Here is a 25135-nt window from a genome sequence, read left to right as displayed (position 1 = left end):
TCTCAAACTCTGGGATCAAGCAATCCTCCTGACTGAGCCTCCCAAAGTGCTGTGATTGCAGATGTGAGCCACTGTGCCCAGCCTCCTTTTGCTTTATAGCATCTCTTATATATTGCTTCCTGGGTTTGCAGCAATGTGAGCTCAAACATCTGACAAGATGCTAGAGTCTTCACCCTGGGAGATTTGTAATTCACTAAAACTAGAATTTATGGTGTATTAATTTGGGTCCTCTGCAAAACAGACACAAAGACCAAATTAGAAGGAAAATGCCTATGAAAGATAAAGGGTACAGGGAACAGGAGTAGGCAGGGACAGCTTTCAGACAGTGACACAGGTCTGACACCTGCACTGGGAGACAAAGAAGGAGGGAAGGAGGACTGGCTATGAAGACCAAAGACAACGATTCAAATTTGAGATGACCTCAGCCTGGCCACTGCAGATCCCCAGAGCAAAGATTGACTGTTAGAGGAAGAAAATGGCCCAGCTTTTGTGCTCTGATAGCAGCTGACACCAGCAGCCAGCTACCTTTCTCACAGCAGGTTCTCTTAAAGGGAGAATCTGAGTGATGTACATGCTGGCAGCCATGCATGATGACTTTTTTTTTTAAGTAGAAGTTGTTTGGCATTTGTGGTGTGTGTGGGGTGTGTGTGTGTGTGTGTGTGTGTGTGTGTGTGTGTGTGTGTATTTAAAAGAAAAGAGATTGCCTTGGAAGTAGGAGTCTGAACTGTGACATGATAAAAACAATGCAAACCACAATAGAATATTTCTGTTTGCAAGACCAAGTCCCACCCACAACTTCTAGACTGTTGGCTTGGTCAAAAGAGAATAATTCTACACTTTACAAAGCAATGGGATTAGAAATGAAAATCAGCCAAGGCAAAGTATACTGAGACTGCTGGGCATCCAACATCCTGTGTTAGTTGTAAAGGGGGAAAAGCCCTCTGTTTTGGCCAGGAATCAGGGGAGTTATTTTAGGAGCAGCCTCCCCAGTGACCCAGACATTACCATTTGATTTCCAAAGCTCTAAAGAACGTAAGCCTTGAGAGCATTTTTCCACTGCCCTATGTTTCTTTCTCCATAGGGCTTTTTGCACAAATCTGCTGTAAATCCAGCATTCATCTTCTCAGGGGAGCCTGTGGAGAAGTGAATCATTGTTATTAGAGTGGGTGAGCCTGCCTAGAAGTGACTGGCCTGCCCATCCTAAGGACCTCCTGGCTTAGCATCACGTGACTAGCCAGCCTGGTAAAAAAGCACTCAGAATTTACCCATATGCATCAAATTTTACCAGCCCATCTTCTGCCAATAAAGTGCCCTAGATAAAAAAGCCCAGGAAATTACAGTCACTTCTACAATCCTTATGACATTTTCTAGGTGAATTTCTCTAATGTGAGCTGCCTCATGCTGGCTGCTGGGGAGATGAAGGAAAGGAATTCGGAGAAAAGTAAAGCATGGAACTATTCCTAAAGGGATGAATGACTAATTCGCCATTTGGGACACCCATGAGTAAACTCAGACCCTCCTATTACTCAAAAGGGAAAGACAAATCAGTTATAACAAGCAATATTAATTGTGCACTTCTGAATGATCTCATTTTATATTTAGAACAACACTCTAAAGAAGACTTCTCCAAAAAGCTCCTACAACTGATAAATACATTCAGCAAAGTTAGAGGATACAAAATTAATGTACACAAATCAGTAGTTCTGCTATACACCAACAGCGACCAAGCTACGAATCAAATAAAACACTCAACCCCTTTCACGATAGCTGCAAAATAAAATAAAATACCTAGGAATATACCTAACCAAGGACATGAAAGACCTCTACAAAGAAAACTACAAAACACTGCTGAAAGAAGTCATAGACAACACAAACAAATGGAAACACATCCCATGCTCATGGATGGATAAAATTAATATTGTGAAAATGACCATACTGCCAAAAGCAATCTACAATTTCAATGCAATTCCCTTTAAAATACCATCATTCTTCACAGAACTAGAAAAAAATCCTAAAATTCATATGGAACCAAAAAAAAAAAAAAAAAAAAAAAAGAAAAACCCTGCATAGCCAAAGCAAGACTAAGCAAAAGAACAAATCTGGAGGCATCACATTGCCTGACTTCAAACTATACTATAAGGCCATAGTCACCAAAACATCATGATACTGGTATAAAAATTGGCACATAGACCAATGGAACAGAAAAGCGAACCCAGAAATAAACCTAAATACTCACAGCCAACTGATCTTCGACAAAGCAAACAAAAACAAAGTAGGGAAAGGACACCCTATTCAACAAATGGTGCTGGGCTAATTGGCAAGCCACATGTAGAAGAATAAAACTGGATCCTCATCTCTCACCTTGTACAAAAATCTACTCAAGAAGGATCAAAGACTTAAACAGAAGACCTGAAGCCATAAAAATTCTAGAAGATAACATTGGAAAAACCCTTCTAGACATAGGCTTAGGCAAAGACTTCATGACCAAGAATGCAAAAGCAATCGCAACAAAAACAAAGATAAATAGATGGAACTCAATTAAACTGGTAAGTTTGTGCACAGCAAAAGAAACAATCAGCAGAGTAAACAAACAACCACAGAATGGGAGAAAATTTTCACAATCTGTACATCCAACCAAGGCCTAATATCCAGAATCTACAAGGAATTCAAACAAATTAGCAAGAATAAAACAAACAATCCCATCAAAAAGTGGGCTAAGGACATGAATAGACAATTCTTGAAAGAAGATATACAAATGGGCAACCAACATATGAAGAAATGCACAACTGAAAAATGCACAACATCACTAATGATCAGGGAAATGCACATCAAAACCACAATGTGATACCACCTTACTCCTACAAGAATGGCCATAATCAAAAAATCAAAAAATAATAGATGTTGGTGGGGATGTGGTGAAAAGAGAACACTTTTACACCTCTGGTAGAAATGTAAACTAGTACAACCGCTATGAAAACAGTATAGAGATTCCATAAAGAACTAAAAATAGAACTACCATTTGATCTAGCAATACCACTACTGGTATCTACCCAGAGGAAAATAAGTCATTATATGAAAAAGATACTTCCACATGCATGTTTATAGCAGCACAATTCACAATTGCAAACATATGGAACCAGCCCAAATGTCCATCAATCAACAAGTGGATAAAATACATTGTGGTATATATATACTGTGGAATACTACTCAGCCATAAAAAGGAATGAAATAATGATATTCACTGCAACCTGGATGGAATTGGAGACCATTATTCTAAGTGAAGTAACTAAGGGAATGGAAAACCAAACGTCATATGTTCTCACTCATAAGTGGGAACTAAGCTATGAGGATGCAAAGTCATAAGAATGATACAATGGACTTTGGGGACTTGGGAGAAAGGGTGGGAGGTGGGTGAGGGATAAAAGGCTACACATTGGGTACAGTGTATACTGCTTGGGTATGAGTGCACCAAAATCTCAGAAATCACCACTATAGAGCTTATTCATATAATAAAACACCACCTGTTTCCCAAAAACCTATTTAAATTAAAAGAAGAAGAAGAAGAAGAAGACATTGCCATTATTCTCCTTGGACAGATGAGAATGCCTAGGCTCAGAAAGTTTAAATCATCTGCCTAAAGTAACCTAGTTAGCAAATAGCTGAGCTGAGACTTGAACTCAGGTCATTCTGACTCCAGAATGTGTGGCCTTAACAATACCCCCCTATTTCCCAATCAGTGCAATTAAGGCAGGTTCAGATTTTGAGGACCCTGAAGTAAAACAATTTTGGGTTGGGCTTGGGAGCAGTGGCAACCCTCTTCAAGAAAAAGAAAAAAAAATGAAAACAAAGCAAACACAGAGTTTTAGAAGGGGTCCCTGCAAATGAGAGGGGCTGAAGCTACAGCCTCATTATCTTCACAGTAAATCTACTTTTGATTGTGATGGTGCTGTTATTGACAACAATGTTAATATGAAGAATAAAAATTATTCTTCAAATCCAAATATATGAAATTTCATTGGCTTAGGACTTTAAGATATTTTTTAGGTAACAAAATTGTTCTAGACACTCAGAGATCCCACATGCCCCCTTTCCAGACACCATATAATTTCTCTGAGTCAGAATCACATCCTACCTGCTCAAATTCTCGTCATGAATTTCACTTCCCCTTGCCTCAAATTCTCTTCAGTTTTCCTTGAATATCTATTGGGTTTACCTCTCTTTCAACATCTTTATTATTATCATTATTATTACTATTATTATTACACTTACTACTCACAATGTGTGCTAGACCACATATTGCCCTAAGCTGTTTTCTCACCTATGAAGAAACCTAGTATCATTTCCATTTTTCAGATGAGAAAACTGAGGCCCTAAGAGAGGAAATAGTTTGTCTCTGAAATTTACACTCTTAACCACTTCAACATAGTGCCTCAAATAGCCTGGGTAAATCAGACATTAACACAAGCAGACTCCATAGAGGCGAGAATGAAGTATAACAATCATAATGTCTTGATCAAGTACCAAATACAAGGCTAGATGTCCCGCGAGTCACATACTTTGACCAGAATCCCCTTCTGGCACCTCTGAATAGTGCAAGAACAGAAATGTGTTTTCAGTCAAATCAGCAATTCTGAGACACGGGAGACCTTGAAAATGTGTGATTCTGTGATGTAAAGTACAGTATATTTTTCTCTGGGTTACAAATTTTGAAATCCAAAGAGTAAGCTTGGTAGTGCCTAAATTTACACACTTATCATAGGTATTATACTTCTTTAGTCATTATCATGAATTATCTGTGCCAGAAAGATATACTACCCCTGAAAACTAGTAGCCAATCAGAAATAGTGTCTCAGGAACCTAGGTGAGGGGTAAAATTATGAGTCACACTGGCATGGCCATCTTCCTGGGGCTGAAGCACCACAGAGGGTGCCGATCTGAGTCCTGTTCCTTGAACTTGAATGTGTGAAAGAACCTCAAATTTCACTTATTTAAACCTTTTTATTTATAAATAAAGGCCATGAGACCTTGAGATGCCAAAGTTCACAGAGCTAATGAACATTGTTCCTTCAGCAGAATTAATGAACAGATTATGAGGTGAGTTTAGAGGACTTCCCACTGCACATTCTGCTCTCATTGTTAAAGACACACTGTTAGGTGCGACACTGGTAAACCTACATTAAAAAAAAATTCCTGTCTATGGCATAGATAGATATACAAGGCGTTTGCTAGTCTAGACTCTGCCTACCTAGCCACCATCACTTCCCACAATTCCCCAGCATGAATCCTGCCCAGAAGGTACTCACTATACCCTCTCCTGCCTCCGCCTCTGTGTAGGTTTTCTCCAGCCGGTTTGCCTTTCTCCTTATTCTTCACCCTATGAACTCCTACTCATTTGTCAAAACTCAGAAGTGTCACCTTCCCAGTGAAGCTTCCCATGTGAAGACCTCATTTCCCACTCCTCCATCTAAAAGATTACATTGATTCTCTTCTGCTCTCTCAACACACAGTTCTTTGGGCTTTTGGCACTTATCACATTGTAGTTTGGTTTTTGGTTTGATTTTGTTCCCTACATTAAATTCTGAGCTGCTGAAAGTCATGGTCACTGTGTTGTTCATTCTTTTTAATTATCTAATATGTGGGCACTAGGGGTATTGAAGTAAATCATAACAATAATAATTAACATTTAATCTCTACAATAATCCTAAAGGGAGGGTGTGGTAGAAGTGGACATGACCAGTGCTTACCAAGATTTCTGGTTCTCTTCTTGAAGCTAGGGGTGGCCACATGACTTGCTTTGATGGATGAAATTTAAGCAGAAGTGACATGTGTCACTTCCATGTATAATCATCTAATAAGAGGTACTCTTTCCCCTTGCAATGGTGGATCCTAAAGCCTTGTATTGGGCAGGCATCATTATAAGGTAGTGAAGGCTCAGTGACCCCCTGCTGACCCATGTTGGACACAGCATGGATGAAAAATAAATATTTGTTGTTTGAAATCACTGATAACTGGTGTTTGTTACTGCAGCATAACTAAGCCTCTCCTGACTAGTGTGGTGGGGGGCAGAGGGTGTCTAATATTATCCTCTTTTTATAAATGAATTGAGGTCACCCAGGTGGTAGGTGGAAGAGGGAGGATTCAAACTCAGCAGATGTTAAAGCTTGATGTTAAAGTTTGATATTAAAGCTTATCTTCCAGATCTCTATGGAATACAGAAAGAGGAATGAAACCAATCTTCTTCCATACTGACCATTTTAATTATTACTTCCTTTCCTGTTTCCAGCCATTATCAGAAATTGGTAGAGCAGCTATTCCTTCAGAGAATATCTAAGCAAATTCCATCCTTCTTCTCAAGTCTGTTAATATCTCCATCCCCTAATTCTACTTTGGGTGTGTTGGGTTTTGCTCACAGCAACTCTGGAAGGTTTGGGCACATATAGTATTTGTCTTTTGCTGAAAGCAATAAAGAACATGTCAGCACATGTTCATTTTCTAGTTAGATTTTTAAAAGTCATTTCAAGAGTTCCTTTTTAGTTTCTGCTAAGCAAACATAACCTTCCATTAAATAGCAAACACAAATGTTTGTGTGGTTTGCTTTCCTTAAAGAAATTATTATTTTAAAAAAAGTCAACTCTCTTTGCCAGTGGTATCAATGAGTTGGTAAAGCACTGAAATTAGGGAGGATGAGGAGAATACAAATTCAAGGCTAAAGAAAATATTATTGTTTGGCTAATTCAGCCCAAGAACCCTTCCAACCATGAAGGCTTAATACAGATGCTGTTCGTGAAGTCAGACTAGTACTAGGTAGTGTTTAAGAGCAGGGTTTCAAAGTCAAATGAGTTCACATTCAAATTCTGCCCTTTATTTGTTCTTTGATGTGGTCAATTTAGCTAGCCACTCAGAACCTTAGTTTTATCATCTGCAAGATGGGTAAATTACAGCTACCTTTGTACAATTGCTATAAGGATTCCATACTTGCATTAATTCAAATAGATAAAGCCCTTGACACTATTGTCTACTATCTGATAAACATTTGATGAAGAATAGTATTAAGTTTGCCATAAATAACACCTGTCCATCTGCATAGCTTAGGTTAAAAGAAAATCAGAATACTGCCACAGGGAAGTGGCTGCAGGACTCAGAGAAACCAGCTCAAGTTTGCTTATCTTCATGTTTCCTGTTCTTTGAGGCAATTTCTTGGTCAGGAAATTATGAGGGGGATTGGTCACAGGCAGAGATTGTGTTCTCTTGGGAGCCCAGGAGTAGGGTACTGTTAGAATTTCATACACATTCTCTAGGCCCAAACCAAATTCTTTTTTTCCTTAAAAGTCCATCTTTGGCCGGGTGCTGTGGCTCATGCTTGTAATCCCAGCACTTTGGGAGGCCGAGGCGGGCGGATCACGAGGTCAAGAAATCGAGACCATCCTGGCCAACATGGTGAAACCCCGTCTCTACTAAAACTGCAAAAATTAGCTGGGCGTGGTGGCGCTTACCTGTAGTCCTAGAGTTGGGAGGCTGAGGCAGGAGAGTTGCTTGAACCCGGGAGGTAAAGGTTGCAGTGAGCCACGATCACGCCACTGCACTCCAGCCTGGTGACAGAGCGAGACTTGGTCTCAAAGAACAACAACAACAAAAAAAGTCTATCTTTAATTTCTGTTGAATCCTATTTAAGTTTTATGCCCATATTTTGAATCCTCCCATATACTTGGAAAAAATTTGCATGTTCTACACACAACTCAGTACCTGGCTTTTCACTTTAGAACGCAGCCAGTTGGTAACTATGCGTGAGAGTGCAGTGATCCGCCTCACTCAATTTACAAGTGTGGAAAATGTGTGCAGATTGGCCAAAATTCATTCACCTGATTCCCAGAGATAGACATTTAAACCGTTTCCAAGTAGAACTTTCATGCATAGCCTTTGCGCCCATAAGCACACATAATGTCCACTTAAATTGAGAAAATGTGTGTTAGCACTGAAAGTTACCTGGCATGGTGATGATAACCCATTTCTTTTTGTTTGAAGTACCCATGTCTCTGGCTCCAATTAAAATCAATGCCCTGTAGAGATTGATGTGATAGTTTCTGCCAAGTTGGAGATTGGGATTGCATTCCTCACTCAGATAGGAGTGAGAATCTTTGGAAACTCCTCCCTCTTTTGTCTTTAAGACTTCACTTTGCTAAATGGACATAAGTTGAGACCGGCAGACATGATTCCCAACCAACTGGTCTTAGCCAACTCCTGTGTGCTTTTCTAAACCAGTGTCTTTGTTGGTGATCATTTAAATAATGATAAGTAGAAAGTAACCAGTGTGTGATAGCATTTGCTACTGTTCCCACAGTATTTAGAATTACAGAATGATTTAAGTCTCCACACAAAGTGAATGTGAGGGAAATCCAGGGCATCCGGAATGCTCTTTAGCTTCAGGGATTTGAGCTCGCCAGTAACAGAGCATTAAAGACTGCACTTTGTTGCCCCACATTTTCACAATCACAGCAGCAGAGCACCCTAGGTCTCTGGTGAAGGAATGACCCTGTCTTTTCCAATACCCAGACATCAGAAGAGTGGATGTAGTTCCTAAAACTCCTAAGGTAAGAGTTCCTCTGCAGAAAATAATCAAACAGTTCCTACTATGACCTGATGGCAGCTTTTAGGCCTGGGGTTTATTCCCAACTACTGCCTTATCTCATCCTGTGGCTGCAACTTATTACTTTTCTCATTATTTCAGTTTCTCTGTTGGTAAAAGAGAAGAAGGAATGTTTGTTACCATCAAATAATGATTGCACTTTGCATGGAGATCTCCCAGTGATGGGAGCAGCCATGATTAGACAGTTTATATGCATTGTCTCACATATTTCCCACAACAGTCCTAGGGGGAAGGTAATATTAATCCTCTTTTTATAGTCTTGGAAAACTAAAGCTAAGAGAAATTAACTAATCTGCCCACATGTATCAGAGCAAGTGAGTTGTGGAGTTAGGGTTCAAAACGGACTCCAAAGACTTCTCTGTCCACAAGTCAAATTAGATTTTATTTAATAGGATCCAGAATACATAATTCTGAACATTTATCTTTAGTGCCCAAAGTCCTTGAGAAATATATGACTAAAAGAATCTCTTACAGGAATTTGCACCAATGTCACCGTCAGTCACAATATTTATAAAGTACCCTTTATGCCCTGTATAATTGCAGTAACATTTTGCCCTCTAACCCCCCTTTCAGCTTCTCAAAACTCTATCCTTATCTATTGCATTTTATTCTCCCAGAAATACTGTGATTTCTCAGAGACGAGGAAACTGGCACCCACAGAGGTCAAAGGACTTGCTAGTCAATTATAGAGTTTCCTGAACTTTATCCAGTAAAATTTCTTGTGGGGGAAAGGGTGTGTGTTTATGCACATGTCATTCAATTAATTTCAATGGATTTTTTTTTAAGTAAAGGAAAAAGCATTACAACAAACCACACAGTACAGATTTGCTTCTAATGTTAATGCGCTTCCCCTTTCTTCTTCCAATTCCACCCTCCCAAAGTCATTTATAGTCATGGATTGGTGTATAATGTTCCACTCCAGACTGTGAAAGTCCATGAATTGAAGATAATATCGTAGACTGAGTCCTGAAGTCCAAGGAGTTAGGAAGTGTGATTTTTTACTTTTAGCACAGGAATCCACCTGAGATTTTCTCACTGGCCCTAGAGTCTATTTCTCTTCCCCTGTTTACCCCATTACTGAATCTCCTTTCCTAGCTATAGGTCTCCCAGCCTGACCATTTAGAAACTAGGCTCTAGGGATTCATCGGCACTGACTGAGTTTGGTTTGTTCCCAGTTGTCATTCACTTAACATACTATCTGCTCATCTCAGTGCCTAAAACATTGTGAGCCAAACCCACTCTATCACCCTAGCCAGCTGCCCATCAACCTCCTCTGAGGGTATTTTGTGGTCTCTAAGGATGCCTTTATAAGAACTTTAAATTGGGAGTAAAGCCAATATAGTGTGCACGCTATATTGTCCTGATATGAATCTGGCAGAGTTCTCCCATTAATCCCTTCCTACCATTCTCCTGACATGGTAAGAGTCTCTCTTGGTCTCTGTCCTAAAATTGTTTTACAATCATTTAACTTACACTCACATCACATCAATTTTGACATCGTAATGTGATTTGCATTGATTTGAGGCTGCCATCAGGATGAGCTCATAACTATGTCAAAACCTCCGTTGAGTAAATAAAGAACTGATTTTGAACGTGGGGAATGATGGAGGATGGAAAAATCACAGAAAGAGACCAGAAACAATACAAGCTCAGTAGGGAAATTTTAGACATCAAACATTTTTTTTTTTTTGGCACAACACACCAAAGGTCACTAGTCTCCCACATCAAATACACAGACCATTTTTTTAAACAAATCCATTTTAGTCTGAGTCTTGAAACAAGCCTAAAATATGTGATCTTGCAAAGATTTTAGGATAATTTTAATTTTGTTGTTTTTAAAAAACGAAGGAGGAACTATTCGAGATGTCAGAGGAGTGAGGGAGGGTGAATGGCCCTTCAACCCATCCAGAATGGTTGACGTTTGAATAACTGATCATGAAGAGCAAAATTCCAGAATCATATTCATTTTCGGGACTAAGATGCCACCAGAGGGGCAAAGCAGGCTCCAAAATGTGGCTTTGTGCCTGTTTTTAAAAAGCAAGCAGCCTCTTTCGTACTCAATTAAGGCTAAGTGTAGCACCCTACACTCTGCCCAAGATACAGCCTCCATGTTTATCTTGGCAACAATTCAAATGGAGGTTTGTGAGGGAGGGTTTGGCCGAAGGTGGGCGGACCCCGCATGAAAAAGTTCCTTCGCCCATATCCTCCTGTCTGAAGAAGGCGGATGGAGACGGAAGGTTTTCAGGCCGAGTTCCCGCCGACCTTAACTGGAATAACTTGCTCTCTTTCACATCTGCAGCTGTGTCCTCCTCAGGGAGTTGTCCGACTAAATGTGATTTTAAACATCTGTCAGCTACATCAGAGCTCCAAATTTAGCACTCGGAACATTATGTGGATTTGTGATGCTCGCTGGAGAACACTGGAACCGTAAACCGAGCTCACATGAGACAGGCGGGTGGTACGCGGGTTGGTAATTTCATCTATGACACATTGAATTTGGCTGCACATTTATGAATGTTATGTAAAGGGAAAGAGTGACCATTTCCTTGCAAATAGCTTTCTGAGTTGCCACAAGATCAATATCGAGAAGGGAAAGCCTTTACACTAGGAACGCTTATTGTATTCCTATCCAATCATTTGCCTGGAATTTAAAAATATTCCCCACGGGCTGGTTTTGTCTGAATTCCCTGAAACTTATTCTCCTCCCTGAGCTGCCTTTCTACTCCAGCTACAACTGTGCTCCAGTGTACCCATCCTAGAGGAAGATGAGTTCTGCGTAATTCTTGATTCCTGTTTGCCACCTTTGAAGATGTCCAGGGGCATGTGAGAATCCTCACAGGGCTGCTTTCCCTCCACTGGGTTGGCATTTCTGAAGAGATGTGCTGCCCTAGGGGGAAACTGTGAGACCAGTCCTTCCACGCAAAAACTCTCTGCTGAAGCAAATCCCTGGATGATTGGCTAGGAATTCTTAGTACACATGAAGGTTTGTAACCAATTCTATCAATTCCCAAAATCATGGTGCCCTTGAAGACAGACATGGAGAGACATAGCCCTGCAATTCAGCCTTTGTTCCTGATAAATGATTTATCGTAATATCACAGCAGACGAAAACTTGTGCATTTGCTTTACTTAGGTTGATTGGGTTAGTACAAATGCTCACAGCCTCCAACGTCTAGTTGTTCATTAAGCCTTTTCCACAGATAGAGTTAGTTTACACACCCCATATCACCCCTCTACCCCTACTCCTCCTCCCTTGCTCCCAAGGCAGCCTGTGTGTGCCTCTACTCTGATGTTAATGTGTGGTGTTATTAGGGAATGTCTTCAAATGCCTCTGTGATCTCTAAGGAGGCAGACATGCTGTTTGATTTGTCCTGTATTCCCGGGATTAAGACAGGCCCATAGACTGTGGTCAACTAACATGTTAAAGATAGTGAATAAATGCATGAGTGACTGCCACTAGTTTGAAATGTTTAAGAATATACCAACTAGAAGCAATGAAAGGTGGTTCCAGGAGCACAGTTGATGGCAAGAGGAGAATTCTTACAAATGTATCATGAATAAACCACGGCTGGATCATGCAGACATGTTTGTATGCAGAGAACTGACTCAACACAGGTCTTCCTTGCTGTTGGAGAAAGGGTAGGCCCATCCGAGGTACCAAACACCAGGCAAGGACATCCATAAGCCAAGACACAAGGAAAACAGTACTGTCTATATGGGGTCACTTGACGGGGGTTAAGCAGGAAGAGGCTTGTGCCTCAAAATGTCTTATTTCTGGCATCTGAAATGAGAGTGTTTTATATTTATTCTCGGAAGGCATGATGTTTCTTCCCTCTATTCATCCCACTTCTGTGATGACACACTTACCTTGAGAGTCCACATAGGGAATAGTTAAGACCATAGACTGTAAAATCAGACAAGATCAGGGTTCAAATCCCAGTCCACAATTCATTAAGAGGTACTATCTTGAGAAGGTTACTGGATCTCTATGTTAGCTCGTTAGGTGATTGAAGGTATTAAATACCCGGTGTGTAAATATCTGATACATCACAAATGTTCCATGTCATTAATATTATTATTCTTATAATTAGTTTGGACTCTTGCTTGCAAGTGACAAAAATGAAACAAAGCTGGCTTAAGCAAAAAATACAGGTGTGTCTCACAGAAATCAAGAGCAGGAATATACCTGGGCCTCAGGGAAGTTCTGTCACCTCTGCCCTTCTCTGCACATCTGCTTCATTCTCCTCTCTCAGCTTCTTCTCTTGTTAGGTCCACAGCATTGTTGGAGAAAACCCACTTCTCCACTCCTAAGCTGACATGTTGCAGGTTCAGCTACCCAAAAAGAAACCAACACAAGTCCTTTTCCTGGCCTTAATTTCATAGTTTGGGGAGAAAGACTCTGACTCATCTTGCATCTAGTGCTACTCCTGTTTATTCAGTGTGGCAGGAGTTAGTCATAGGTAGAGGCAGGGTCACAGTTACACCATGGCCCTGGGGGCTCGCTTCATTGCCAGGAGGCAGGAAGAGAGGGAGGGCAGCTGGATATGCTGGGGAGAAATCAAGAAATGGACAGATGCTGCAAAAGCTGCCTTCAAACTACTATGAGAGTGAGAATGGGACATTAAAAAATGTGAAGATGTGCAAAATGTTCTTCTTTATGAAAAAGTCCCACATATTGCATATATATTATGATCATAACTAAACTCACTTTTAAAGGTAAGGATTTATAGAGGACACAAAGAAATTGTTTTTATGCTATGGTGGTGAATTTTTAATGCCCTTTGATTTAATAACAAAACTTTGTTTAATGTGGAAAGCTCCTACAAAGATTAATAACCCTTGAGCCTTTGCCACCTAACACCTTAGCAAGGATTAGTTGACAACTGGCTGAGGTCCACGCCCCAGGGGGACAAACCCAGGCCAGGAGGAGGGGAGGGAGGGGGGCAGGAAAATGCCAAGGGCTCTGGGGCCAAGCTTCTCGTTCTTCACAGTGTGTGGATACTAAGACCCTGTCTTCCTGGAAAGGCAGAAACCTGGCTTGGAATTCAGAAGACTCCATTTTCACAGAATCTCAGTAAATTCCAGGCCAGAGACAGGGCAGCTACTAGAAAACTCCTTTGGTAATAAAAAGGCATTGGGAACATTGTGAAAGGGCACCACATGGTTCTCAGGGCAAGACCAGTGCCACCTTCCAAAGGCCCTACAGACGTCCTATAGAAATGTTTCTATAGAAACAAATAATCCCACACCCACCCCAGCAGCCTCTGTGTCCATCTGGCACCCCTGTCCCCAGTTGCCACCCCTGGATGCAATAAGAATAACCCAGGAAAAGTCTTTCCATTTAATCTTTGGCACACTGCATCTTCCAGCCTGAATGTCAATGTGCTGCTGCTTCTAATGTTTCCCTCAGGGATTGGGTAGGACAGGTGGTCACTGTCATGTTAAAACCAAAGACTTATGAAGCAACTTTGTGAGCATTGTGAGAGCTTAACTCCTACCCCAGAGACAGACCCCTGAGACTCTTGCCTGGACAGTGACCGAGGCTCTGAAATACAGTGGGTAAATCACATCCACAACCCGCTCTACAAAGTAGACCCAGTGTTTTTGAAATTGCTCAAGTTCACTGCCCTGAGACATGCCCAAATGTTCCCTTAAACACTGCTTTTATCTTAGCAAGCTCCAGAAAAATTCACTTCAGCCTAAGGGCTTTGAGTGAGTGTTCAAGGCCCAAAAGCCTGAGTTCTGGTGTCAGAGCCCATTCCCTTCTGCTCCCATGACTATTGCCTTAATTGAAAACCTTAATATCACCAACTTGTGCAACTCAGCAGTGTTTATCCAGAGCCCAGGCCTCTATGTCCTATAGAGTACAGACTTAGAAAGTTATCTCTACAATACATGTATTAAATAGCCATACATTCACTAAGGTAGTCAATTAATTGGGCACCTACTATGTGCCCGGTAGTGTGATAGGAGCTGTGTATAGAATGTGAATAAGCTTCAGCCCTGCTCAAGGTACCTCCAGTCCAGTAAGGGAAATGACAGTGCTGGCTGATTGATGTTCACAGGACCAAGGACAGGGTGATTAGCACCCATGAGAGAAACTTAACCGGATCTCCAGGAGTCACACAGAGAATGTTTTCTGCAGCAGAGGATAGTACTGCAGAGTCCTAAAGAAAGTTATAGACTTGGGCAGGTAAAGATGAGGAAGAAAATCGAAGCCCCTAGCCCCTCTGGCCACAGCCTCTGCCCACCCACCTCGTGAGGTCTGGCCATGATCTGAGTTCATGAAAACTGCACAGTGTACTTGTCTGTGTGGGAGTTGTATGGGGGTAAGGGATTGGACACCTAAAAATGAAAATAAAGGCTTTCCCTCTTCCACAACTTGTTATAAAATCTGACTTTCTGATTGACGGCTTAGAGAACCACCAGCGTTTTTTGTCAGAACAAGTGAGGTCAATCTAAATAGTTTATCAAATGCATACAGTACCTACTGTGCACCGGGTTGTGGGGGATGGCACATAAATTGGATATGACGAGATAGAGGGAGAAGAGACAAGAGAGATGGAAAAGCGTCCTGGGGTGGAGTAAAGAAGGAAGGAAAAAGGTCCAGAGCAGGTTAGGTGACCCACCAGCAGTTTGCTAGTGTACCTGCTGATTTTTATCTGTGGACCAGCAACTTTATCTCTTCCCAGACCAAGTAGGAATGGCTACTTGGAACGAGAAGAAATATCAGCAGAGCATCATAAGGCTTTCTGGTCTGTTGTCTCTGACATGCTCCAAATGTGGGATAAATACACTGTGGTGTGGTGCACCATTGGAAGAGGCTTTGTAGGCCAGGGAAAAGCTTAGCTGACCCATTTAGATGTCTCCTGGACCTGGGCCTCAGATTCAACAAAGCATAGGTGAAATGTGGGGCAAAGGAATCTTCAAAGGGGTCTCAGAGGTTTCAGTTCCATGAACATCTTCTCTAATGCACATAGTTAAGTCACAAGAAGGTATTAAATACTAAAATGTGTCATTCCAGCTTTGTGTGTTTCCACAGATACGTGTGTGTATGCACGTGGTAGTGTTGGCCATGTGTGACTTTTGGTGAATTGCAGACTTTTGTCCATTTTTACCTGGTGCAAAACTAAAGAGAAGAGATGCCAACAAACTCCTTATAACAGCTACCCAATCCATTCCATGCTCTTTGGAAGCCCGTTTTTATAGAAATTTAGAGCTGTGGGGCCATAGAGATTAAATGAGAACCTGTTTATTAGTATGCTTAGCATGTGCTGGGTGCATTAATCAATGATAAAAGAGCTCTTTCAAATTCCTCATTTTACAGATAAAGAAATAAGTCATTTAGGTAAATTGTTCAAAGTCACATGCTGCTCATTCTCTCACATATAAATTTTATGTACACATTCATGCACATCTTACTGAGCACCTTCCTGGTGCCAGGCATTGTGTGCAGGATGCTGGCAAACCCAAGTACTAGAAGGCAGTTATCTGGACTTCTAGTGCAGTGCTCTTCTTTTATATGCTGGAATTTACATTTAAGATTTTTTAAGTTAGAGGCATCATTCTGCCCGTCATCTTTATTAGGGGCTGAGCAGTCATGGAGGAGTGATCTCATTTCTTCATCATTATCTCTGTATTCCCTCTGAATATGCAAGCATTTTATTCAGTGGCAAAATGTGGAGAAAATATTTTGATCCCAAAAGATAAAATTATTATGAATTTTAGGTTTGTAGCTTTTAAAACAATCAAGGTGGGTAGCATGAAACACATTTAACAGTTTCAAGTGCAGTTTGCCATATTATTTCATTCGATTATTGTGTATTTTGTTATGTTAAATACACAATGTTAAAGAGTCTAGCCAGTTAACAAATTTACATGCCTCTTTCACGAATTATATTTCTAGGATGACATCTCAAGCTATTGAAGTTTGAGTTAATGAAGTTATCTGTGGATCCTTGCCAGGCAATTCTAAATCAGAGGACATGAATGAGGGCGGAATCCGGCCTTTGGTTATATTTGGTTTGGCTTGCAGAGTGTTGGTCCACACAAAGTTTTTAAAATTTTTTAGTTAATTTGCAACACTTAAAAATCAGGAAATAAAAATAGAGACTCTGACTTCTAAAAAATATCAGAAGTTCTTGGAATACTGAGCCACATTCTCACTCACTGATGGTCTGAATTGTTGAGGGCTGTGCACAGGGTGGCCTTGGTAGACATGGTAAATGCTCCCCACAGTCCACCTCACACCCTCTTCTCTATACCTGTCTGCTTCATTCATTTCATTCATTTACCTGCCAGGCCCTGTTGGCATTTGAGTTCATAGCCTTTGCTTCATATCAGGGGTCAAAATCTTTATAAAGCCACATGGAGACTTCCAAAGAATTTTCTCAGGGTGTTAAGTGCAAAATGATTCTTGATGATCAATAGGATTAGAGTGAAATATGCATTCATTTGCTCAATGTATATTATTGTCTGCTGTGTTCTAGACATGTGCTAATAATGGAGGAAACTGAGATAAATAAGGCTCAGTCCCTACAGAAGCCTATAGTCTATTGAGGGAGAGAAACAAAGTGATTAGAACACAGTTTATCCAAATGCTATGATGAGTCACGGTAGCACAAAGGTGGGGACAACAAAGACCAGCTCTAATTGGGGAATTTAAGGAACTTTAATAGCGCAAACAACAGCTGAACTGAATGTTTAGGGTTCAACTGGAAAAACAGAAAACACTCCAAGTTAGTAAAATGGGCAGTTTCATGCCATGGATTGGTAACCCAGGGATGATGGTTTTAAAACATGACCCCAGAAATTTTGACACTCCTTCCATTCACAGGCATGATTTGTGTTTCCACCACCCATTTGAATCTGAGTGGACTTGGGACTATCGCAACTTACAGAATAGTGGGAAGTGATGCTGAATGACTTCAGAAGCTAGTACATAAAAGAGAGCTTCAGCTTGTTTGCTGAATGGCACACACACATTTGGGGCCCTGAACCACCATGAAAGCAGACTGACCACTCTGAGGCTGTCACACTGTAAGGAATCAAGCCACGTGTCAAGCTGTGTGTGGATGCTCTAGCCAGCAGTCTTAGTCTTTGAGTCATCCCAGCCCAGGCACCAGACATGTGAGCAAATAAAATTCAGATGATTCCAGCCCCCAGGTGTGGAGTCATCTGAGTCTTTGAGTCTTCACACCTGAGGTCCCAGATATTGAGGCCAAGAGATAAACCATCTTGGCTATACCCTGTCTAGATTCATGACCCATGGAGTGGTTGTTTTAAGCCACTGAGTTTTGGGGTAATTTGTTACACAGCAATAGTAATCAGAATTACAGGTTATGGAATTGCTAAGAAACCAAACAAGACATTCCATAGATTAGGCATCCCATAGATTAGCAACGGCAGGTAATGCAGTTCTACCACCCCTAGGCCAGAGAAACAGAGGATTTGGTATTGATGAGGCTCAGGGTTTAGGGTTACCTGGCAGAAGTTAGAACATGGCTTTTCCAAAAGAGTTAAAAATGGGAGAAACAGCTGGGGCTTAAGATACCATCCAAGGAAAAGAGAAATAATTGTTTCTTTCTCTTTCAGCCCTAATATCTTCTGCTATTGCCTTCCATTGGCATAACCCATCCAGAAGCCTACAAAACACAGCCTCCAAGGGTCATTTGCTTGCAATACAGAGCAGACGAAGGGAAGGCAGGAAATGGATCAGAGGGGACCAGGCCCAGGATTGGCACACTAGTCTTGAAGAATGAGTAGAGGGTCACTAGACAGATAAGGAGAGATATCATTCCAGACAGAAGGAACAGCAGAAGGCACATGGACAGCATGTTCAGGAAACTTCAATTAACTCTCCACAATTGGAATGTAGTAGAGATTCTTATCCCCACTGTACGGACAAGAAAACTGCAGTTGCAAGAGGTTAATTGTGGTGGTCATTTGTCATGTTGGGAGTTACCTGGGCCACAATAGCTTCATGCTTGGGGAAATCATCTGCTGTAAACATCTTGGTGGGAGGGAGGGTACTATCAATCAATATGGAAACCAAAGGGGCTGACCCCACCTCTGTCAGAGCTAAATGATCCCAATTGGACATTTTTGCCCAGAACTTGGAATATTGAATAATACAAAGATTGAGCGTTGAAAAATTATCCATAGCATCAGTGATGGCATTGGGAGTCCAGCACCACTGGAAATGAGTGTCCAGGGGCAGCCTCTGAACCCTCCTTGTCTTGATCTTGGCCCTCTTACCTGCTGTGTGATCTTTCTGGACTCTTGCTAATTTTCTGAATCTGATCCTCCAGGCTTCCAGTTAATTCTGTGAACTATCTAATACTTTGACAACAAATGCCTTTCCTGATTAAGTTAGAGTCCATTTCTGTTGTTTGCAGTCAGTCAGTACTACAATAAGTAAGAATTTGTGCTCTTTGCCACTATGTATAACATTTATTTTGAGAACAGTAGGTAGATGGTAAAGTGAAAATGAATCCAGACGAAGACTCTAGATACGTAAGTGTGATATAGATCTTTCTGAACTTGCTCATCACAAAAGGGACATCACTTAATAAGGGAAAAATTTAAATTACCAGCTAACATTTTATTAAGTACTGTAATAGTTTCCTACAGCTGCTGTAAAAAATTATTAAAAACTTGGTGGCTTAAGTCAACATGTACGTATCATCTTACAGTTGCAGAGGTCAGAAATCCACAACATCTCTGAGCTCACATCAAGGTGTCAGTAGGGCTGTGTTTCTTTCTGGAGGCTCTAGGTGAGAATCCATTGTCTTGCCTTTTCCAGCAACTAGAGGCTGCCTGCATTCTTTGCCTAGTGCCCCCTTTTCATGTCCAAAGCTAGCAATGGCAGGTTAAGTCTTTCTCATATCTCATCACTCTGAAACTGACTCTTCTGCCTCTCTCTTCAACATTTAAAGGATCCTTGTGATTATATTGGGCCTACCCAGGTGATCAGGTTAATCTTAAAGTCAGCAGATCTGCAAACTTAATTCCACATGCAACCTGCTTGCCAGGTAGCATAACAGGCTCTCAGGTTCCAGGGATTAGGATATAGGAATCTTTGGGAGGCTATTAGTCTATCTACCACAAGCACTTATTATTTGCCACTTTTTAATGTACTTCACTTAATCCTTACCACAACCCCTTGAGGTAGGCATTGTTATTGTTCCTGTTTTACAGACGAGGCGACTGAGACTCAGAGAGAATAGCTGGCCCAAGGTCACACAGTAAATGGCAGACTGGGCACTCAATGCCAGGCCTGTCCAGCTCTGCTAGTCAATTCTCCGAACTCATTCTATTTTTTCTGACCTTAAGGCCTTTATATATGTTGTTCCCTCTGCTCAACCCTCACTTCCCCCTTCTTCATCTGACTGCCTTCTTCTTATCTGGCAAACTCCTAAGTATATGTCACTTCCTTGGGGTCCTCTCTGATTCTACAAATGAGGCCAGCCCCCTCTGTTGCATGTATTGTGATTTTGTTTGATCATTTGTGTGCATTTCTGCCCTTTCTCAGAATAAAATGCCCTGTCTTTATCAGGGCCCTCCAAGCCAGGCTCTGCCCTCCTCCAGCTTCATCTCTCCTCCACTTTCTCCCCGACTCTGGCCATTCTCACCTTCTTTCAGCTTGTTGAAGTCACCAAGATTTTTTCCCACCTCAGGATCTTTGCACACATCCTTCCTTAATCTCACCGTGATTCATAACAAAACAATACAAGTGACAGCTATTTGGGTCAACTGCTTTCCATTTTGGCCTAATTACCATACGGCTAGAAAAAATAGTCAAAACACATGTCAGATTAGCCTGTGTGAGCTTTATTTGATTACAACAGTAACCTCCATTCTGTATGCTAACCTTCATGGCTGGTTACACATGTAAAATGGTTGTCTGCTCACAACTTAGACATCAGAGGGAACGCTGGGTGTTAAGAGACTTGGGAAATTATCCAATGCGTTGATTTCTTGCAGTAAGGAATGGTTAAAGCTGTGATGGCTATTTTAGAAGGTCTGTCTCTACACCTACTTTCTTTGCTTCCAAAATTCTAGCCGTGAGAGAGAGTGGGAGGAAAGGGAAAGGAACGGGAAGGAAAAAAAAGCGGGATTTATATAAACATGATAAATCTGTTATATTACCTACATTACACACTGGACGCATTAAAAAAAAAACAACAAAACTCTCAGTTCAGAACAACTGCTGCAAATCACACATCCCTGATTATATGGCAGTATTCCTGGTGGGAAAGCCAGAAGTAGTGAAGGATGGATTTTAGCATGTCCTATGTGCTTATTTATGGTGCAGCACATCATCAAACAACACTTCACAGGCTCTAAGCTGGCAAACTGGAGGGCTTTGAAGAGAAATAATGAGCTGAGAGGTTCATGACATGCCATTAAAAAGTTTGTGATTGGATTTGGAAAGTCAGATGAGTCTCCAAGGGAAAGGGACTAGTTCTGAGCTGTTGCACTTAGAATATTTTTGAGCCCCAGAGCAGATATTTATGAGAAGGGAGAGTTGTTTTTGTCTCAAATCCAGGTTCTGACTCTGATGTGTAGTGAGGAAGCCGCTTTGCACTGCAGACCTGAAGTCCCGGAATATCCATGATGTCACCTTTTTCTACTGATCTGCCTGCCACTGCACAGAGGCACGCTATTAGCTCTGTGATGTTTTAGCTTAATTCTCCCACATGTGGGTTGCAATTCTAGCCAAAACAAAGTCGGCAGGAGATTTTATAGCCACTGAATTGCTCAAGGTGCTACAGGCTCAGTGAAATCAGGAAATTAGGTTGGGATGCATGAACAAAAAGATAAACAGAAAGAAAAAGCATCAGGATGGTGGGATTCGAGGTTGCCTGTTACGTGATTTCCAAATCAGGAATCAAGCCTTCGGTTTTGCAATGGGTGATTTGATGCTCTGGGTTTTCACCTTTGAGATTTTAATGCTTTTCTGGCATATATGATAGAAGAAAGCACCCTGTTCCAGGTGGTGAACCAGAAGTCCCTCTCACTAAATTAGAAAGGAGACATTTTAGGATATGAGATCATGAAATAGAATAGTATTTGAAAAGAAAAAAAAATGAAAAGAAAAAGAAAAGAAAATCACATATATGCAATAACACACAACTAGCCCAGCACAGGGTGAATTTGTGGTTAAGCCATTTTTTTCCCATTGCAGATGATACTTTAACTCTTTGAATCTCAGAGTCCTCCTGCACACATGCAGCATGAAAAGACGTTTCTGCGGCTGCCATCATAAAGCCAAGCTGTACCTCAGGTTGAATTAGGAAGGTCCGGGGTTCTGTTAGTGTTCTGATTCTGAGACTGCAGCTCTTTGCCTGAGATCATTCTGCCTAGCTCTCCTCTCCCTGCCAGCGCCTTAATAACGTAAGCCCAAGACCCTTGCTCTCAGATCTTTTGAACGAACAATGGTGCTGGGCAATCACACCATAAAGGACTATTTGTGATCATTAGGGAGAAAAGGGAGGGGGGTAAAATGTTATGCTAATCAAAAGCAACAACTGTTATTTCTTCTTCAGTGCTCTTCACAAAAGTCACATGGATGATGGTAAATCTTCGAGCTGATGCCAGATAAACTCTGAAATTTTAAAGTATTTGTTTCATATGGGCAAAGCTTTTCCTTTTTTTCCCCTTTTTTTCTTCTCTCCCTTTACCCTGTGGGAAAATGAACTTATTTTCAGTCACCCCTGACATCTGACCACTCAACTGATCACGAGGACACTGTGGCAAACCACAACTCAACTTGAAATTGTCTCTTTTAGGCTCGGTTCCTGTACTTTGGATGGCACCATCCTTGCTACCCAGCATTAGCTTTTTTTCTATGGAGGTTCCATTTTTACTTTCTTCCATTTACTCAAAGTAAGTGGTCTTGCTGTAAAGTCTCTCAGTTGGGCTTGTCCTCAAAATAAACTGAATGCAAAAATGACACCAACTTTTCAGCCAAAACCCCAAAAGTGGCCCATTTACACAGTGTGTCCTTCTTTTAAAAAGAAAGAAAGAAAAAAAAAAAAGCATGAAAACCTTAAACATCCTGCAAAGGGGGAAGGAAAAGCCAAGTCTCTTGATTAATATCGAGATGATACAGCAGGGTTTATACATATTCCTTCTGTTTGAATCATCTTGTTTTTTGTAGCTGTTTTACACCTCCAGGATCCTGCCATCTGCCCACTCTAAAGAAACACAGCAAAGCAGTCCAAAAACAATGGCTGGAAGGAAATCATTGTGATCTAACTCAAGAGATCAACTTGTCTGCACCCTTTCGGTTACTGCTACTCTTCCTGGAGAGAATACAGTGTGGTGTGGCCCAGAGGTTCATATTATGGGGGGGCGTTGCCTCCTAATAAGCCCCCCGGTGCCTGTCACACCATCGGCTGACAAGACAGAACATGGTGTACGGATCTGGCTGCCCTCCTGGCTGAGGAACAAGGAGGAGGAGGGAGTGGGCAGCGCCCTGGGCAGTTATGTCCTACTCATATCTGGTGTGTGTCACTGGAATATAGGTCAGCATTTGCTGTACAACTTGGGGCAGGCTGGAAGCATGCAGACCCCGGATTGGGCCCAGGAACCCCCACCCCCACTCTCTTCTTGCCTAAAACAAGTTAACAAGCCCGAAGAGCATTGAGAGAAGCCATCAGGACAGAGGAAACCAGCCTTTCCATTTTGCACGCAAATGCTGGGGAAATCTAAAGCTTAGCAAAGGCGTTATCAGTCCTGGGGTTGGGCCAAGATGCAGGCTGAAGTTCAGCTGGCCAGGCCAAACGCAGCTGCTGGCTATTCAGGCTTCCCACAGGGACTTTTCCTCAACTCCTGATTTAGATAGTGAAATGGATGGGTAATGTGTACATAGCTGCCAAGGGTGATAGGAGAAACAAAATGACTTTCAGTTACTGAGTAGTTCAGGTGGAGGCAGAGAACACAGAAAAGGTTTTCTTTCCAACAGCAAAGTGAAGTGTCCGTTAAAGAGCTGCTGGCCTTGCAGGGAGATTATTACTTTAAAGGAATATCGGCAAATGCTTTAGGCTGAACATTTGGGCTTGCTTACTTCCGTTTTTCCCCGCAGTTCATAGAGGGATAAAGATATTACATGAATTGGATTTTTCTTGTGAATTAAAATATCGATGCCCTGATTTTTGGTAACGAATGTTGCCAAGTTTGTGCTGAGCAGACAGAAAGGAGGAATAGGACTAAGGCTTTGCCTTTGGGGAAATGCAAAAAGGGTTCACAAAAAAATGTCCCATTGATTGTCCAAGGTCACTGGACTATGCATGCTCAAAATGGAACTCAAGACTCCCAAACTGCAGTGTCTGACTCATTGTCCTTTGACTAAACCAATGAAAATAAAATGGGTTAGCACAGAGTATTGTTCCAGGACAAAAAGTTCAGAAAGCCAGCAGAGCTTCAGGGAAAATGGGATTTTCTTTAATTAAGCTGACATTGAATGCCTCAGTAATAATCTTGTAAATTTGAATTTATCATCTGCAAAGTAGGCATATTTGTGATTTCCTAGCATGCAAGTTAACTTAAAATTTAGTGAGTATCCCTTATGTTCCTGGCACTGTGCGAGGCATTTTCCCACACATTATATGATTTAATCCTCACAAGGATCTAGAGAGTCAGATATTATTATCACTGTTTTACTGATGAGACTTAAACTGATCAATGTTCCGCTTGAAGTCTAACTGTGGAGCTGGTATCCAAACCCAGGTTTCCTCACTCCCTTATGGGTTTGTTTGTTTGTTTGTTTGTTTGTTTGTTTTGACAGAGTTTCGCTCTTGTTGCCCAGGCTGGAGTGCAATGGCATGATCTTGGCTCACCGCAACCTCCACCTCCCAGGTTCAAGCAATTCTCCTGCCTCAGCCTCCCAAGTAGCTGGGATTACAGGCATGCACCACCACGCCTGGCTAATTTTGTATTTTTAGTAGAGACAGGGTTTCTCCATGTTGAGGCTGGTCTCAAACTCCTGACCTCAGGTCATCCGCCTGCCTCAGCCTCCCAAAGTGCTGAGATTACAGGCATAAGCCACCGTGCCCAGCCTCCCTTATGGTTTTTACAGCCCTTTAGCTGCTTCTTTTAAACAGCATCTTGTCCTGTGTAATTCATATCGAGGTTGGTTGTTGTAAAGTTTAAGTTCCTAGATGAGACAAACTATGAGAAAAAAAACAGAGATTTTTTTTTGAATTACCTACTTAGAATATTTTGCCCAAATATGAAGGTTTTAAAATGTAGTTGAATTGGTCATAAAATTTTATCTTCCCTTCTACTTAAATAGTGCATAAGTTTATAAATAAATGCTATGAGGAAAACATTATGCAACCTGATTAAATTCTACTGTGGTATTTTTAATGCATTGAAATGTCTGAACATAAACTACTTTGGACCCTATAAGAAGAAAATATTGGCCTAAAATTGAAAGATTGAAGATGTTAGCAAATAGGTGATTCAATGCTAAGTGCATATTGA

At 41.3% G+C, this 25135-nt stretch overlaps 1 protein-coding gene, 1 long non-coding RNA gene and 1 pseudogene across 5 annotated transcripts in view, besides 1 other annotated feature; 2 read left to right on the top strand and 1 right to left on the bottom strand.

Annotated features, from left to right (window-relative positions):
• LOC101929727 (uncharacterized) overlaps positions 1-25135 on the bottom strand; it is a 248010-nt gene that overhangs the window by 112744 nt on the left and 110131 nt on the right. The window lies entirely within an intron of this gene.
• Positions 1-25135, top strand: part of RNLS (renalase, FAD dependent amine oxidase) — a 411796-nt gene that overhangs the window by 315941 nt on the left and 70720 nt on the right. The window contains exon 8 of one of the 4 annotated variants that reach the window (XM_017016380.3): positions 1372-24993. The exons of the other annotated variants lie outside the window; for them this stretch is intronic. The gene's annotated coding sequence lies outside the window, so the exon portion shown is untranslated. Of the gene's footprint in view, positions 1-1371; positions 24994-25135 lie in introns of those variants that run through there. 4 annotated transcript variants of the gene reach the window in all.
• Positions 4492-4551: an enhancer, noted in NCBI's record as "active region_3721". NCBI's record gives its function as "activates an Ori minimal core promoter by ATAC-STARR-seq in GM12878 lymphoblastoid cells {active_cell/tissue: GM12878}" and the evidence as "EXISTENCE:reporter gene assay evidence [ECO:0000049][PMID:35858748]".
• VN1R55P (vomeronasal 1 receptor 55 pseudogene) lies at positions 8075-8821 on the top strand (annotated as a pseudogene).

The sequence above is a fragment of the Homo sapiens genome, chromosome 10 (assembly GCF_000001405.40).
Source record: "Homo sapiens chromosome 10, GRCh38.p14 Primary Assembly".
NCBI classification, from domain to species: domain Eukaryota; kingdom Metazoa; phylum Chordata; class Mammalia; order Primates; family Hominidae; genus Homo; species Homo sapiens.
Note: the sequence above shows the minus strand (reverse complement) of the source record. Positions and strands in the feature narration are given on the sequence as shown.